At 37.5% G+C, this 18,551-nt stretch overlaps 1 protein-coding gene across 2 annotated transcripts in view, besides 1 other annotated feature; it reads left to right on the top strand.

The window, feature by feature from the left end:
* The window catches only part of IRS1 (insulin receptor substrate 1), a 68,509-nt gene that overhangs the window by 10,769 nt on the left and 39,189 nt on the right, over positions 1 to 18,551 (top strand). Inside the window, exon 2 of one of the 2 annotated variants that reach the window (XM_047444224.1) lies at positions 2,741 to 4,905. The exons of the other annotated variant lie outside the window; for it this stretch is intronic. The gene's annotated coding sequence lies outside the window, so the exon portion shown is untranslated. Of the gene's footprint in view, positions 1 to 2,740; positions 4,906 to 18,551 lie in introns of those variants that run through there. 2 annotated transcript variants of the gene reach the window in all.
* Positions 6,725 to 7,019: an enhancer, noted in NCBI's record as "tiled region #11623; K562 Activating non-DNase unmatched - State 22:ReprW". NCBI's record gives its function as "activates a minimal TATA promoter and a strong SV40 promoter by Sharpr-MPRA in K562 cells {active_cell/tissue: K562}" and the evidence as "EXISTENCE:reporter gene assay evidence [ECO:0000049][PMID:27701403]".

Genomic DNA, 18,551 nt, shown 5'->3' with positions numbered 1-18,551 from the left:
AAATTGTATTCAAGGAAAATAGCTTCTTGTGAATCATGCTTGAAGCCAGTTTCACACTAAAGATCCTGTAACTTTTTTTCATACTAGTATTTTTTTGCATGTAAAATAATAGATCCTGCCTCTACCACATTTATAATTATGTAACTGATTTATTCCTTCGTTACCTTATTAGTCCATAGCTATGCAGCAGACTTTGAGAGCTGTCTTTAAAATGTTATTGAAACATGTTCAGAAAGTGTAATCATATTGAATTTTAACTTAAAATTACATTTTAACGTTAGTATGATATAATAATTGCATACTAATTTCAAACTAATATGACATAGTTACAAAAATTTATTGTAAAGCTTTTTAAGAAGATAGGTTAGTAAGTATCATCTATTTGCTTCTATTTTTGTCTTATACTTTGGAAATGGTAGTACCTCTCCCATTCTTAATTCACAAAAAGGGAGAAGATGGATTGGACAAGTATAAGGTACTGTCATGTATGATAAAAGGAACACTTTCCATTTTAATAGTATTCTTGCAGCAGGCTCTGCTATAATCTATTTGTTGAAATAAATTTGGTTGGATAAATGTTATTTGTGCTTATTCAGTGAGCCAGTGATCTTTGAATAATAGAGCTTTGAAAAAGATGTATTTATGTTGAAAAGGCTTTTTGACCCTTTTTCTGTATTTTCCATTGATAATGGCAGTAGAGTTGAATACATGGGTCAGACTATGATTCTAGTTGCAGTTTTCTTAAAGCAGAGTAGAGATTTTGTGGTTTTATTACTCTACCAGGAATGTTTTATTGAGTAAGCTGAGTTGGATTGCATTCATTGTATTCCTTTTTACCATCCCAAGTTTTATAAATATTGCATATTACATATGTATCCTTGCACTCCACTTTTATTGTTGACCAAAGAATACTTTAATGCATGTTCTCTGATCCTCCCTGACATATTTAGGTCATATTGCTGAACAATATCACTTAATCTTGAGAAGTTTTCTCACGTTTGTTGAAATGATCAAAGAGACGTTTTTTTTTTTGAATATATGTAATGTGGCAAACAAATTATGTTTTGCACAGAAAGTCATGATTTTTACTTTTAGGAAGGATATGATCTAAGTGAGCTAGCAAAATAATAAAAGACATTTATAAACATTTAGCAGTTAGTTAAAGGCCACTGGAATATTGAGTAATTGCTAAGTAGTCAACTATAATTTATCTAATCTTCTCCAATCATCATGTCCCTATTCACTTAAAAATTATTTGGAGGGCTCTATGGATATGAAAAATAATTATGTTTACCCTTGAGTTTTAGGGGTTGTGGGGACAATCAGAAGATCAGAAGATCTTTAATTGTCTTTAATACTATTCAAGCCCACCACCCATTTCTCAACCCTAACATAAATTATCTGCTTTTGTCAAATAGGCCCTAAGCCATTTTTTCTTGTTCTTCCCCTCCCCTTCTTTTACTCAGTAAGCTCTATTGAGCACCTATCATGTTCCAAATAGTACACCTTTTATTGAAAGGGGATGAAGGTAGATTCATGGAAATGGAGGGAAAAATGGTACTGAGAGGAGATCACCAAAGGAGTTACCAAATTTCTTATGACATAAGTTATCCGGGAAAACCAAATCAAGATTCCGATTGTGTAGTTCACAAAAGTTGGCATTTTTCATAAACCTAAAGGGCAAAAGTGCCCATCTAGCTTAAAGGTTTGTATTTTTCTGAATCTTTCTAACCATGGCTTCCTGTCTGACAATACCATCAGCATACTAAATAATCAGGAAGGAACTCTCATTTGGAAGAATGGCCCATTTTTGGATATTAAGCTTGCAAACATAATATTGACAAAAAGCAGGAAAAAAGATATCTTTGCTTTGGATCTTTAGTCCCAGTGAAAGCAACCAGAAGAAGAGGCATCCAGCTGTTAAATGAAGAGGGGTTGAATGTGGACTTGTTATGGGGTGGTCAGTGTTAGGAAACCTGGGGGGAAAGTGGGGGCTACAAAATAAATTTTAAAGTCTTTTCTTGCTATCTTAGCTTTGTTATTCAAGGACTTTTTTCTTTTTTTTCCTTTGGGTGGGTGGTTTTTATTTTTAATGAAGAAAAGGTCCAACACTTTGAACTGTGGTTCCTTGCTTGCTTCTGGCTGCAAGTATAATTGCTTTTGAGATTTTTCTCCCTCTGTTTTGATGATATGCAGTCACGTTTATTTTTAAGTTTGTGGTAGTCTCTTACAGAAACATGTTTTAAAAGTTTTTTTTTTTTTTTTTAGACTACCAAGTTTTATAATAGCTTGCTGGGTCTCTTCACACTATTTTTTTCTCTGTATTTTTGTATAGGTGATACATGTACATGCTGTAAGTTTCCAATTTTTTTTGGTTTTTTTTTGTTGTTGTTGTTTTTGTTTTTTTTTTTTTAAGGTAGAGAGTGAAAAATAAGGCTTCCTCCCACCTTTGTCCCCAGTTTCTCATAGGCCACCATCACTGCTGGGTTTTGTTTATCTTTCCAGAGATAGACTGCTTATAAATTTTGAAGCTTTGTAATAAAAAGTTGGTTAAATGCCCAACTGCTCCAAGTCTTCTATGGAAGAATATGCTCAGATCCCAAATTTCAGCACTTAAAGGGGCACAGCAGATAATACACCTTGTATCACAGACTTACTGTTCTCTTTTGTTGTTGTTGTTGTTACTTTTAAAGGGAAAAAAAAGGACACACTACTTTCCACGTCTCTTTTCAATCCTCAGGTTCACAAAGTTTCTAGTGATCAAATACCATTTGACCCAGCCGTCCCATTACTGGGTATATACCCAAAGGACTATAAATCATGCTGCTATAAAGACACACGCACACGTATGTTTACTGCGGCACTATTCACGATAGCAAAGACTTGGAACCAACCCAAATGTCCAACAACGATAGACTGGATTAAGAAAATGTGGTACATATACACCATGGAATACGATGCAGCCATAAAAAAGGACGAGTGCATGTCCTTTGTAGGGACATGGATGAGATTGGAAATCATCATTCTCAGCAAACTATCGCAAGGACAAAAAACCAAACACCGCATGTTCTCACTCATAGGTGGGAATTGAACAATGAGATCACATGGACGCAGGAAGGGGAACATCACACTCTGGGGACTGTTGTGGGGTAGGGGGAGGGGGGAGGGATAGCATTGGGAGATATACCTAATGCTAAATGACGAGTTAATGGGTGCAGCGCACCAGCATGGCACATGTATACATATGTAACTAACCTGCACATTGTGCACATGTACCCTAAAACTTAAAGTATATATATAAAAAAAAGAAAAGTTTCTAGTGATTAATCTAGCATAACAGTGAAAGGGGAAAAGCATAGGTTAAAAAATGATCTGGTTTTTCAAGTTGGAAATGTTCAAATTAAGAAATGTGTCTTATTTATTTATTTGTTTATTTTTGTTTGCTTTTTGAGACGGAGTCTCACTCTGTCACCCAGGCTGGAGTGCAGTGACACAATCTTGGCTCACTGCAACCTTCGCCTCCCAGGTTCAAGCCATTCTCCAGCCTCATCCTCCTGAGTAGTTGGGATTACAGGCGTGCGCCACCACACCTGGCTAATTTTTGTATTTTTAGTAGAGACAGGGTTTCACCATGTTGGCCAAACTGGTCTCAGACTCCTGACCTCAAGTGATCCACCCGCCTCAGCCTCCCAAAGTACTGGGATTACAGGTGTGAGCCACCACACCTGGCCAGAAAAGTGTCTTAAGTTTTTAAACACCACCAATTTAAATCTTTACTACTTTATTTTCTTTTCCTGTTCACTTTCATGGTACTTAGGCATTCATTCCCCCAAGACTGAGTGAATAACTAGTTCTTAATATGGTATAATGGGATTAAGTATTAAGGTTAAGGATCTTTTTGAAGACTTTCTGGATACCAATGTCTCATATTTTTCAGTGCTCAAAAGAATTAATGCTTTTTATTGGAATAGTCTTTCAACATTTCAAATTCTGGGAGCAATTTATTTTATACATAAGACTACATACAACTAATTAATGAAATTTATTTACACTAGTGATGTCCTGTCACTTATTTTCTCCAAAGTTATTAACACTGGACAGGAATGGAATAAGGAGAATCTACCCTGTCTCCTAAGGAAAGTGTGTATTGCTGAGATAATTTCTACCTTGAAGCAAAGAGGAGCTTCTCTAGTGGTCAAAAACATTTATGACTGGTACCCTGCTATTCTTGCTAATTGTGGTCCAGGAAGAGGATGAATAGAATGGGGTAGCTCTTGCTACAAAATAGAAACTTTCGAGAATGTGGTAACAGATAACATTTGAATTAGAGGCTGGGCATGGTGGCTCATGCCTGTAATCCCAGCACTTTGGGAGGCTGAGGTGGGTGGATCACCTGAGGTCAGGAGTTCGAGACCAGCCTGGCCATCATGGCGAAACCCCGTCTCTACTAAAAATACAAAAATTAGCTGCACGTGGTGGCAGGCGCCTGTAATCCCAGCTACTCGGGAGGCTCAGGCGGGAGAATCACTTGAACCTGACAGGCAGAGATTGCAGTGAGCCAAGATCACACCCTTGCACTCTAGCCTGAAAGACAAGAGCGAAACTCTATCTAAAAAATAAAAAATAAAATAAAAATAAAAAAATTAAAAAAAAACATTTGAATTAGAATCGTCAGTGTTTGATCGTTTTTTTGGTGACTTACCAATAAGAGTATAGTAATAGCAGTAGTGTTAGTTTTCTTCCAGATTAAAGTAAGGAGGAATGAAATTCATCCATATGAAGGAAATTTTTAAAAAGCTGTTAAAGAGTTTTATATATGAAGCTATCTAGTTTCTCAGGTGTATATATCATTTAGCTTTCAATATGTAACAAACCACAACCAAATAAAGTGCTTTAAAACATCAATCATTTACTAGGTCACAATTCTGTGTGTTGGTAATTTAGGTTGAGTTCAGCTGGGCAGTTCTTCTGCTTGTCTCATCAGGGTGAATGCAGTGGTTCAGTCAGTTGGAGGATTGACTGGGGGCTAGTTGTCTAGGATGCTCTTCCTCACATATCTAGTGGATGATGCTGGCTGTCAGTTGGTGCTTGCTATTGACTGGTCCACGTGTCCCCAGCAGACTGACCCAGTCCTCACGTGGTATTGAACAGGTTCCCAGCAGCAAGAGCAGGGAAGCAATGAGTGCATAAATACTTTTCAAGCCTCTGCTTATATCACATTTGCTACTATCCCATTGCCTAAAGCAAGTCACATAGCCACACCCAGCATCAAGGGGATAAAATAGAGATACTATTAGAAAATCTGTATTTTTTGACTTACTGTGATACCATAGTATACTAAATGCAGTTATTTTGTTGTCATTAGTAAATGTTTATCAACTGCATGTTGAACATTTAGAATAAAATTATTCTTAGATGTTTATAGTGAACACTTCTACCTTTGGGTGAAATATCAGTGATTTCCTTCATACTACTTTTTTTGGAAAAACACAAACACTTATATTCCCTTAAATAACTATTCATTGAGTTTTTCTCTGTGAGCCAGGCAGTGGAGACTGAAATACGTGTGTCCCTGCCTTTGTGGCACTTTACAGGGGGCAAAAATAAACAAGTAAATAAAGAAATATGCTACTGCAAAATGTGGCATGAGGAAGAGGAAGGGCAGAGTGTTATGAAGTAGAATAATGGGCACTACCGTAAATGTAGGGGCAGGAAATGATTTCAGAAAATACATAATGTACTTCTATTATTCAGGTTTGTAAAGGAGAAACACATATTTTTATATTACATGCTTTGTGGGCCAAGTGCAGATTCAGGTCTTGATGGCATCTTTTTAAGAGTTAGATCTCCTTAAGAATACCTCTTATTAGTTGAGTGAAGGCTGAAAGCTCACCCCTAAGTAAAACATTGAAAAATGACTATTGAGGTTTCTAGTAGTAGATGCGGTTGTCTCTATTTTTAGTGCCATTGGTGGATGGTGAAAATATACTATTTGTTCTAGATGTCTACTATGAACTAGGTTAGAGGATTACACTTTGTTTTGTTTTGTTTTGGGACACAGTCTCACTGTGTTGCCCAGGCTGGCATGCAGTGGTGTGATCTTGGCTCGCTGCAGCCTCCACCTCCTGGATTCCAGCGATTCTCCTACCTTAGCACCTGAGTAGCTGGGATTATGGGTGTGCGCCACCATGCCAGGCTAATTTTTGTATTTTTAGTAGAGACGGGGTTTCACCATGTTGGCCAAGCTGGCCATGAACTCCTGACCTCAAGTGATCTGCCCACCTTGGCCTCCCAAAATGCTGGGATTCCAGGCATGAGCCACAGCACCCAACCAAGGATTACACTTTGTAACAGTCCTCAGGTGGCTCACATAGGACTTGAAAGCAAATATGGTACTGGAAGGGAACGCAGAGCCAGGGGATATCTTCCCACTGTCTCTTCACCAATGACTTACTGCTTGTCCCCACTTACACAACAAACTGAGCCACATGAGAACTGGTGCAGGGCGCTGGGCATTTTGTCTGGGGAGGTGGAGAGCAAGGGCCTAAATGGAGTCAGAGACTTTGAAATGGTTTGAAAGGGCTTTCGCTGCCTGAGCATAAATCTAGATTTGGGTAACACAAAGTTGCTGATTATTGGAAAGCAAATGCAAATGGTTTGCCACATCCTACTCAAAGCAAAGGCAGTACTTTAGTTAACTCTTCACCCAGCTCTCCCATCAGCTACTATTTACATTTTGCTTTTACCAGAATCTCAAATACCGTAAATGTTCCTGAGGTTACAGAACAAAACAAAACAAGACACTGTATAAAATATGTCATGGAGGGGAGCCAAGAGGGAGAGACTGAAAGTTGAACGTGGTGGTATTTATATTGTGATCTTGGCAGCTCCAGTCCACCCCCCTAACCCACCCTTACTAGCTCCCTCTGCCCCCCTTCCCAATTCCAGCATACTCTTTGAACCACAGCTAAACAATAACTTCCTTTCAAAGCGAATCCCATTCCTTCTGGTTAGGTTAAGGAATATTAATATTACATTTTTAAAAGAATAGGTAATAAATTAATTTCTAAAAATATTTTATTTCCATTTGTAGAGTACCCTGGAAGTTACCAAGAGTATAATTAAAACTCCCTTTTGCCCAAACGTGTGTGTGTGTGTGTGTGTGTGTGTGTGTGTGTGTGTGTGTATTTAGGGGTGAGGAGGAGGGCAAGGGAGTGGAAACTGCAGTCCAATAAAAAAGGTTACATTCCTAAAACTTGGTCTTTAAAAATATTTTGCAGCCTGAGCCTTTAGTCCCTCACAAGTCCCTACAGAGGCCGACCTTCAGAAAGTGTACAGGCTTGTTGTTTCTTGGGCCTTTGAACTGGGTGAAGAATGTGTCTCAAGATGGAAAAATGAATGGCTGGTGCTTTAGCCTCCAGCTTGAAGCTCGCTGGAGGAATGTTATTGTGTCTTCAAAGCCTGCTTCCCACCACGCTGTATTAGTTAGATGGGCTCATGGAAAGCGTCTTTGCATTATCAAGTACACAACAAAAACCCATACCACCCAATTCGATCTAATTCACTGGCTCCTTTTAGGTGGATTTTTAATTAATGTGTCTCTTCTCTATGAATAGAGCCCTATTCCACGGCTCCCTCCCTACCCCAACTCAGGATTTACTGTTACTCACCACTTTAGGAAACTTCAGCATTTTTCTTTTCTTTTCCTTTTTTGTGGATGGGAAATATTATTTTTAAAAATAATGGCAGAAGTTGTTTAGGAACAACTCTCTTAGCTGAGAGGAGTTCTGAATGGATTTCCAGCGAAAGTAAGTAAAATTGCATTTGCAATGTAAAATCAATGCCTTTAAATGCATTGACCAAAGAAAATGCCCAAATCTTTTATTAGCTGGGTTCAAGTGTATCAACCACCCTGCCTCTCCTTTTAGTTCAGAAAATTTACCCCTTCATGAAGGATGATGGAAGCAGTAACACCACCTGTCCTTGCTTCAGTTACTGGTTTTATGGCACTCCTTCCTACTAAAAATTGTGAGCTATTTGAGAGTAGGCTCACTCTTCATTTCATGACTCCATTATCCAAGTTGGTGCTCACAAAACGCTTGACACATTGAAAACATATTTATCAACAGTTCAGGGAAGAGTCTTGGATCAAGGGAGAGGATGGCTTTAGAAAAGTTTCAAACAAGAACAATAATGTGGATATTTTTTGAGTATCTCAAACCATTTCATTTGTCCAATATTTAAAAAATTCAGATTTAACAATATCAGATATATTAAAAAGTCCATCAAAATTACAAGACTGTAATCTGGTATGACTGAATATAAAAACTTGGATAAAATTAATTGCAACTTCCTATGTATCTTAAATCTTGGACACTTCCTCCCTTCCCCCAAACCATTCTTTTGAAGATTGACAGGAACTTTGCTTTGTTTTGACAAGATTTATTTTTGTGCTTCCAACAGTAGCTCATCAACTTTTATTCTACTAGTATAGTTCTTCTGATGTTAATTGTAGCTTACTGATCTAGGTCATAGCATAGCATTTTTACTGACGTTTCAGATATCAAAAGCAATGAGAAAATTATTTGAAAAATAAGCATTATATCACAGCTACCTCTATTTTAATTTAATTTAATTTAATTTAATTAATTTGTTTATTTGACATGGAATATCATGCTGTTGCCCAGGCTGGAGTACAATGGTGTGATCTTAGCTCACTGCAACCTCTGCTTCCCAGGTTCAAGCGATTCTCCTGCCTCAGCCTCCCAAGTAGCTGGGATTACAGGCACCTGCCACCATGCCCAGCTAATTTTTTGTATTTTTAGTAGAGATGGGGTTTCACCATGTTGGCCAGGCTGGTCTTGAACTCCTGATCTCGTGTTTCGCCCGCCTCGGCCTCCCAAAGTGCTGGGATTACAGGCATGAGCCACCGCACCCGGCTGCTACCTCTATTTTTAAAAAGAGGTCAGTTAGAAAGTTTGTGATTCATAGATTTCCCTCCTGATGTGTCCCATTGCTCCTCCTTTTTCTTCCTCTTTGTTGCTAATTAGCCCCTCTACTAAAATATGCATAAGGTTTAGGAAAAGGAATTAAATTTAAATGAGTCCATTTTGCCAGTGTAGCCCTTGGTAGGTACTCTGCTAAGATGTTACCTTGGTCTGGAAAACTGAACCTAATTGCTTTGAGACTTTTCCCCTGCATTCCCTGACTTTTGTTTCCACACTTCATTGAGGCTGGACTGGTGTAATGACCAAAGTAATGGAATGTGTATTCTAAACTGGTGTGTCCGCTACTGTAGCAATTGTTTTTAAATATTGTTGGACATTTGAAGTATTGAGCTAAAACTTAGGATCCAAGAACTTTTATAGTACTTACAGCAGAACATTTGTCACATTTGGGTATGAAACCCACAACTCCACAAGATCTGTAATATAAATTAGTTCTATTTTATTTTAAATAAGACTTCAGTTTTATTGGCCCTTCACGGTTGATTCACATTTTTGCTGCTTTCTAAAACTTGAAGATGTGTGTCCTTATAGATATGTGTCTGGTATTGAGCTAGGCTATTTCTCTTTTCACCAGCGTGGCTGAGTAGATTTGAATGCTCAGTGGAATGAGTCTGGCATTTGGTAGATACTGTTTGTTGTATCTAAATAATGAATGAATGTTGGACCATAGGATTTTAAAGCACAATATGGAAATATACCAACACCTCATTTATCTGTAGACCAGAATCATATCCTATTCAGGAAAATAAAGTTTTTGTTAACTACATTACTACTGCTAATACTTGGTGGGTATTGAATATTTTCTTAGATTTTTCCATTCATTGCAGAAGTAAGCTGTTGTAATTGCTGAACCTGAAATTTAAAGGAAATCATAACCAATCATGAAGATCTTGGTAGGGAGTCGTTGAAGACTCAAATGGTTGTAGACCTGTCATGAGAGAGCATTCTGGTTAAGTGGTACAATAAGGAGTTAGTGAATTTCTACTGAGTACCAGGCATACTCCTAAGTTCTTGAATTACAACTGTGAAGAAAACAGACAAAACTTCAAGCTTTCTTAGAACTTCCTTTCTTGAGGGCCATGTGAGTGAGAAAGCTATAGAGGACCAACTTTCCCAGGGCACATTTTTGTGATGTAATAGGGCAAATTATAAAAGAGAAGGAAGTAAGAGTTGAAGTTGATGTATATGTGCTTGAGAGAGATTGTCTTACATGAAAGTCGAGATCTGGAACAGGTGACATATTGAGAGAAGGATGTTAGGAGTATGTGGTACATCTGGGAAGCCCTAGAGAAGACTGGGGCTGGCCACAAGTGTGGCCACCTATGTGTACTGGGCATTGGGTGTTGGAGGGAACAGGGATGTCATGAACCATAGCTTATGTTGCAGCTTTGGATGGTAGTAATTTTCACTAGGTATTGTAAAGAGTTTTCTTTTTAAGACTATTATGCAAAAGTGGTAATGTATATACTCTAACCTTTCTTTTCCAAAAGTTTTTTTTTTTTAAATTCTGTTAGAAAACTATTTAATGTTTGGGAGGAAAGACTATCTTGAAACTGCTCTTATGTAAAAAGCTTTTACTTTGGTATTGCTGTGTATTTTACAAGTAAAGATCTTCAGGCATATTCCTGTTAAATCCATACATCACAAGAAGAAATCTCACAATTTTAAGGTTGCTTTTTCTAGTGGATAACAGCTTTTATGGTGAGGAAATTCCTTTATCGCTAACTTAAATCCTTCATTTACATGTGAGAGAATTTCCCTCATTCTGATTTTAGTAGTGGTGACAAATAGCCTTTTTTAAAAATCATGAGGCTATAAATTATATTTTTATCAGAAGATTTAAATTATAGAAATATACTGTAAAGTACTATTAAGTTCTAAAAACAAATTTAAAATAAAACACGATGACCATATTTAAATATGCAGAAGAATAAATGGAAAAATCATAACCTTGGTACTGCAACTAATCAGTTTGCTAAAAGAGGAAATAAGACAGGAAATGAATTTTCTAAGAAATGCTTAGAAAAAATATTTATAAATAGAAAATATTTTATAATTGATGAGACAATTCTAATTAAACTGACTATGACTTTTCTGGGTTTCAAATACAACATATATTTATTTGCTGAAACTTAATAATAGGGTCAGTGGATTAGTCCATTTTCACACTGCTGATAAAGACAAACCCGAGGCTGGGCAATTTACATAAGAAAGAGGTTTAATTGGGCTTACAGTTCCACCTGGCTGGGGAGGCCTCACAATCATGGCGGAAGGTAAAGAGGAGCAAGTCACATCTTATGTGGATGGAAGCAGGCAAAAAGAGAGCTTGTGCAGAGAAACCCCCGTTTTTAAAACTATCAGATCACATGAGACTCATTCACTATCATGAGAGCAGCACAGGAAAGACCCGCCCCATGATTCAATCATCTCCCAAAGGGTCCCTCTCATAACACATGGGAATTATGGGAGCTACAAGATGAGATTTGGATGGGGACACAGAGCCAAGCCATATCAGCGAGTTTCCTCTAAAAGAAATTTTCCATCATCTAACTATTCTATGAAGAACAATAATTCATCAAATACAGTTTACAATTTGGGGTTCTATAAGTGGTAAGGAACTTTAAATAGGTTTGAAAATCCTTTGGAAAACAAAATACCTGAATATTTATATAGTCACCTAAGCTTGTTTTATCACTCATTTTTAACTCAATAGCATTTTTAAAATACACTTTTTTATTTCAGGACAGTTACAGATTTACAGAATTATCCCAAAGACAGTACAGAGATTTACTATGTACCCCATACCTAGTTTCTGCCTTTATTAACATCTTGCATTAGTATAATACATTTGTCACAATGAACTAATGTGACACATTATTGTTAACTAAAGTCCATACTTTATTCAGAGTTCCTCAGTTTTCCCCTAATGTCCTTGTTTTTCTGTTCTAGGGTCTCATCCAGGATACCACATGGCATTTAATCATTATATTATGTGTCTCCTTAGGCTGTATCAGTTTCCCAGATTTTTCTTGTTTTTTATGACCTTGACAGTTTTGAGGAATAGAATGTCCCTCATTTGGGATTTGTCTGATGTTTTTCTCATGATTAGACTGAGTAATGTGTTTTGGGGATGAAGACCACAAAGAGTCTCACTGTGTTGCCCAGGCTGGAGTGCAGTGATGTGATCTTGGCTCACTGCAGCCTCTGCCTCCTGGATTCCAGCGATTCTCCTACCTCAGCACCTGAGTAGTTGGGATTATGGGTGTGCGCCACCATGCCAGGCTAATTTTTGTATTTTTAGTAGAGACGGGGTTTCACCATGTTGGCCAGACTGGCCATGAACTCCTGACCTCAAGTGATCTGCCCACCTTGGCCTCCCAAAATGCTGGGATTGCAGGCATGAGCCACAGCACCCAACCAAGGATTACACTTTGTAACAGTGCCATTTCATCACCTTGATAGGTGCCATTTCATCACCTATCAAGTGTACCTGTTATCAACAGGATTTCTCAAGGTCGATGTTGACCTTGATAACTTGGCTGAAGGAGTGTTTGTCAGGTTTTTCTGCTATAAATTTAGCCTTTTCCCGCCTTTCCATATTGTGCTCTTTGGCAGAAAGTCACAATACACAACCCACAATTAAGGATTGGGCAGTTATCTACCCACCCCCACCCGAACCACCCCACACTCACACACGATTCTTCTGCACAGGAGATTTGCTTCTTATTTACTTAGTCAATTCTATTTATATTAGTATGGACTCATGGCTGCTTATTTTATACTTCAGGTCATAATCCAGTAACACTTTATTTTGTTGCTCAAATTGTTCCAGCTTTAGCCCTTTCAGTTGGCGCCTGTGTCCCTTTGACATACTCCCATCATTGTGGGTTCTTGCTTTTGTATTTTTTTTGAGCATTCCCTTACTTTTTGACACTCCAATATACTACAGGATCACCTTGTTTATTTCCTGCCCCAGTTCTAAAATCATCAGTTTCTCTAAGGAGCTGCTTCCTTTTATTGGAGAATGTACAGTCTGCCCTCTGTAACCTTGGGTTCTGCATTCATGGATTTCACCAAGCACAAATCAAAACTATTCAAGGAAAAAAAAAAGGATAGTTGCATCTTTACTAAACATATACAGACTTTTTCCTTGTCATTATTCCCTAAACAATACGGTATAACACTTATACATAGCAACTACATTGTATTATGTATCATAAGTAATCTAAAGATGATTTACAGTATACCGGAGGATGTGCATAGGTTATATGCAAACACTACACCATTTTATACAAAGGACTTGAGCATCCATGGATTTTGGTAGGCACAGGAATCCTGAAACCAATCCCCCACAGATACCTGATGGACAATTATATTGGAAACTAAGATCTGGGAACTAGCAGTGTTTGTTGCTACTGAGATGTCATTTCTTCTTTGCCTTCTCAGCTGACAGAGCATGGAAATGTATGTGTGTACTAACCCATACGTATACACATATCTATAAATATTTCTATATGTAACCATCTGTATCTGTACTAAGCCAAGCATGAGTTCACATTGCTGTCTCTAACTCCAATCCATTTCCACATGGACCATTCTCGCCTCCTTGTTTATCTGTCACCTCCCACCTCAACAGTGTGAAGTCCGGCTGTTACTATCCTTGATCCATTTAATTGTTTGTTCAATTTCACTGCATACATATACATAGCAGTTCAGGATTGTTAACTCTAGCCCCATGGGAAACAACTTTATCAACTAGAGTACAATGCTTCTGTCAAGTTTCTTTTGCCTTTAGTCTTATAGGTTCCCCTCATTTCCAGAGTTACTTCGGTCAGCACCTTATTCTCCTACCTCTTTTACTGAAGTCTTTTCATGAATTTATAACACATTTAGATTATTTTGTCACATTCTGCATTCCATCCTGGGATCAGTGACTTCCTAGGTGTATTTTTTTATTTGCATACATTAAAGTTTACTGTTTGTGCTATAAATTCTCTGGGTTTTGACAAATGCTTAATTACTTGTATTTACCATTACAGTATCATGCAGTATAGTATCAAGGCCCTAAAAAATGCTCTGTGCTTCACTTATTCAACCCTTCCTCTCTCTCCCCAACCCCTGGCAATCTCTGATCTGTTTATTGTCTCTACAGTTTTGCCTTTTCCAGAATGTCATAAAATTGGAATCATTATAGTATGTATTCTTATCAGGCTGGCTTCGTTTACTTAGCAATATGCAGTTAAGATTCATCCACATCTTTTGTGGCTTGATAGCTCATTTCTTTTTATTGCTGGTTAATACTCTTGTATGGATGAAACATAGTTTATTTACCTAGACCACCAACCTGTTATGAAATGTTTCTCTACATGTGTTTGAAGACATTTGTGAAGTCAGGTCTCAGCTTTCCTTTAATACTAAACATTTTTAGGTTTTACTCATCATTCTTATTTTTAAAATCTTCAATTAATTTTGTGGCTCTTTCCCAAACCTTGAATATTTTTTTTGTTTGCTTGTTTTTTTTACATCATTTTCCTCCCCCAAATTGTCCAACATTCTGTAGTACAGTGTTTCAAACCAACTCCACACTGGACATAGTTGGACATTTGCTTCCCGATTTCCCCATGTTCTCTCCATTTTAATTTGCCCCATGTTAGTGTTTTACTTTTTCAGAGACAGAACTTTATAGGTTATGTACCACCTTGGAACCACTGTGATCATCAGAGCCTTTTTAAGCCCTCTTCCTTGAAGGACAGTTATTTGCATTTTAAAAAACAGATTTATTTGAACCTATCTACCAGTAGTCTTTTTAAAAAAGTATTTTGTGATTTTGATTCAGTATAGACATTTACAACATTTTTATTCTTTCTTACTATAACGGACTCTCAAGTCTCGGGGAATCAAGTTAATGAAGTTCATTGAGGCTTGGCTGTTGTGCTTTCCGGACGTCCAGTGGGAATCTGGAACTGCCTGGACTGCCTGGTCTGTAGTGTAGGAACAGGGCTTTCTCTGTTGGACTACAGGGAATTATCTCTGGGATCATAAGGAGGGCCATTCTGCCATGCCTCACTGTCTATCACCTTTATGTGAAAAAGGGCAGCTACTATCCAATTAGCTAAAAGGGCTTGAGGATCATATTTATACAGTCTTTCAACACTCAACAAGTACTTTTGAACCTTTACTAGGTACAGCATGGAATCAGCCTTAAGACTACTCTCCTGGAGTGGTTACAGTTAACCAAGGCAAAACCCCTTCTTCGCCTTCCTGGGGGAGATGTGATGGGGAGGGGCTGCTGGGTAAAGGGGCAGGCGATGGTGTAGGAAGGAGTTCACAAAAGCACACATGTTTTGTTTAAGGACCGAGATGCAAAAGAAAATAAAATCCCAGGTATGCTCTACAGTCCCATTCTTTTTTTTTTTTAACTTGCAAGCTAACAAGTTATACAGTCCCATTCTACACAATCTTTTCTTTTTTTTCTTTTAAAAACACAGACATTGATTTTTCTTTCTCTCTCACCGAAATTGTCTCAGCTTGTTGTATAATTCTTGCAGTAGAATTCCTGACATGCTAGATCATACAGATTACAGTGAGGCTTCTTTTATACCAGTGTGTATGTATGTGTTTTCTCCATATATTTAGAGTTTCATGTGTAATATTTCAAACACCTTCCCTTATAATCAGTTTGGCTGTCTGTACTTGTTGACTGTGAAGGGCCCCAGAAGAGTTGTTTCAAACAGAGAACCCAGCTGTTTCTATATATACATCCTATTCACCAAAATGAATCTTTGCAAAAAAGTTGTTTTTAATTGTTTAAATATTAACTAACCTGAAACAAACCTTATGTTCCTTTATAAACTGATACTAAAAAACAGGAATATATATCTGCCAATGGCCTTTGTTTCAAAGTTTCCAGAAATAGTCCAGCTAGAGTTACATAGGTCATTAGCTACAGACCTCTACGGTATTCTCTTTAGAAGTTCTGTGGCTGTTTGATTTTGCTTGTTTCATGCTGTCACCAAAGCCTAAAAGGAATTGGTATTACTGGACTATATTTGCATTTAGAGTGTGACCAGTTCTCTGGAGTACATATGCTGGGCTATTTATGAAACAACTTCAGCTGACAGCTGAAGATCAGAAGATGCTATTTTGGGAAGTGTCCTAAATGTGAGGTTCTGTGGTGAAAAAAAATTTAGTGTCTTACAGATAAGATACTTAAAACAGGAAGCAGTGGTAACTTACTGCTTCCTGTGTAAATATCCTTATCAGCATGATAAGCTTTAGGTTTCAGTTCTGCTTTCCTGATCCCAAGATTTATTTTCTTGTAATCATCTTCTATAAGAGGACTTAGAATTTTTTTTTTTTTTTTTTTACTGTCCATGTAGGGGGAAGAGAAAGAATTTACCAGCATCATTTTTCCTGTCTTGATAAGGTCCTGTCATTTCCTGCCACTCATAGTATTTGCTTGGCTAAGAGACAAATTATACGCTACTGTTCACTCATTCATTAGCTATATCTATTGTGTGTGGATAGTATTGATTCTGTATTTGTTTTAGTGCAAGACTAGGTTGACTATTATAAGTGAAAGATCAAATGAAAGTATAGAACCATCATGGACAAGAAAAGAGGAGATGTGAATTTTATTCCCGATTCTGCCACCTCCTGGGAACTGTCATTCCTTGACCTGATTTTCTGGTTCACAAAATTGGAGATAGTAATATTGCCCCAGTCTGTCTTATAATGTTGTTTTGTGGATCAAATGAAATAACATATGAAAGTAAAATTGTAAGCTGTGAATTGCCTCTCATACACAGAGTTTGTCATGGTTTGAGTTATATCCCACCAACGCCCCTTTCACCCTTAGAACATAGGGGTGCTTTTGGTTTTTGTTCCTTCCTTATTAAAAATATTTTTTGAACTCAGCCAGCTTCCTAGATTTCTTGGCTGTAAGAGTATATCAAGATTGAGTGCCTGAAAAGATACAACAGTGTTGAGTCTCTTGTTCAGATATTTATTTTATGAAGTATGAGTATGGTGTACTGTTAAATTCTAGGAAACTGGGTTGCATTTATTAGCTTGGCATAGAAAAAGCAAAGTTCTACATGTGGGCTAAATTATGTTACAAGCTGTAAGTATAAATCAGGATTAATGGCTGAAATATATTTATTAAACTTTAAAAGGAGCTAGGTACATGCATTTTATAGTTCCTGTGGATTTAATTATATATAAAAACTTGAAAATAAAAGTATGACTGGGGAGTGCTGAATGTTTTCTTCTGTAGAATTCTTGACTCTACTCTTGAGTCTCAGCACTCTTTGACAGAGAGATCCAGTGCTGTGTGCTGTGCCAGGCAGAAGGCATGAGCATCTTAAAGAGATGGATTTATATATGTATATAAACATATATATAGATGTTTAAGTATATTATATGTATGTTTAAATATGTATTATATATATTCAAGAGACATATATACAACAATTTACATAATCCATGCTGTAAGGAAAGCAAAATAACGAAACTACTAAAATTCTAACTCCTGGCCTCTGGGTAATTATAAATCAGTAACTAACTGTGGTTCATGGCTCTCTGTAAAACTGTCCTATGAATTTCACCCTTCCTCCAACCTACTCCTTTGTTCCTCTCCTCATTTTCTATTTTGCTTTTCCTTGAGTGGTGGAGCCGAATGCTCTGAAGTAATTTTGGAACACAGTGAGCCTACTGAGCCACCGGACAGCCGGCTGATACCATGTGCTTGGGAACAGGAAAGGGGACCCAGCTATAAACTCCTCAGCAGCCATGCCATGCCCTATCACCGTCATCCTTCCCCAACACCTTCTGACCTTGATAAACACAGTCAGGACCAAGAATGTGCTCATATTTACATATACCACTCCCTCCCATAAAAATAGGGTAACCTTTAAAATCACAAACAACACAGCCCACACTACCAACGTTCTTCCGTCACTGACAGTGACAGGATCTAGCTAGTTCTCATGCTCCAAAAGTTATATATATATACATGAACTTTAAAGAGAGAGGGTCTCACTCTGATGCCCAGGCTGGAGTGCTGTGGCATCATCATAGCTTACCCCAAACTCTTGTGCTCAAGAGATCCTCCCACCTCAGCCTTCCAAAGAGTCCAGTTTATTGAGAAAAATATTCGAGTTAAAAGTATCCCTAAAGATAATAAAGCTCAGAATGTTCTTTCTACAGACAAATAGACTCAGGACCATACAGTGTAAGTAACTTGGTTAAGATGATACAGCTGTTACATGGTAGAGTTAGCAAACAAAAACAAAAATAAAAACCCTGATATTCTATCTCCAGGTTAATGTTTTCTCCCATGCTATACTACATCAGGTTGTACATGTGTAAAATGCTTTGTCTGTTTTGTATCTTTATATACAACATGTTGTACATATATGTTGCATATTCACATATATATGTGTCCAAAGACTGTATGTTATAGATGTCATTGTTCATTCATTTGATCCTCAAATATTTGTAAAGCCATTCACTATTTTGGCTTTACTATTTGCTGGGAATAGG

This window comes from Homo sapiens, chromosome 2 (assembly GCF_000001405.40).
Source record: "Homo sapiens chromosome 2, GRCh38.p14 Primary Assembly".
Taxonomy (NCBI): domain Eukaryota; kingdom Metazoa; phylum Chordata; class Mammalia; order Primates; family Hominidae; genus Homo; species Homo sapiens.
The sequence above is the reverse complement of the archived record's forward strand: the minus strand, read 5'-3'. Positions and strand labels throughout refer to the sequence as shown.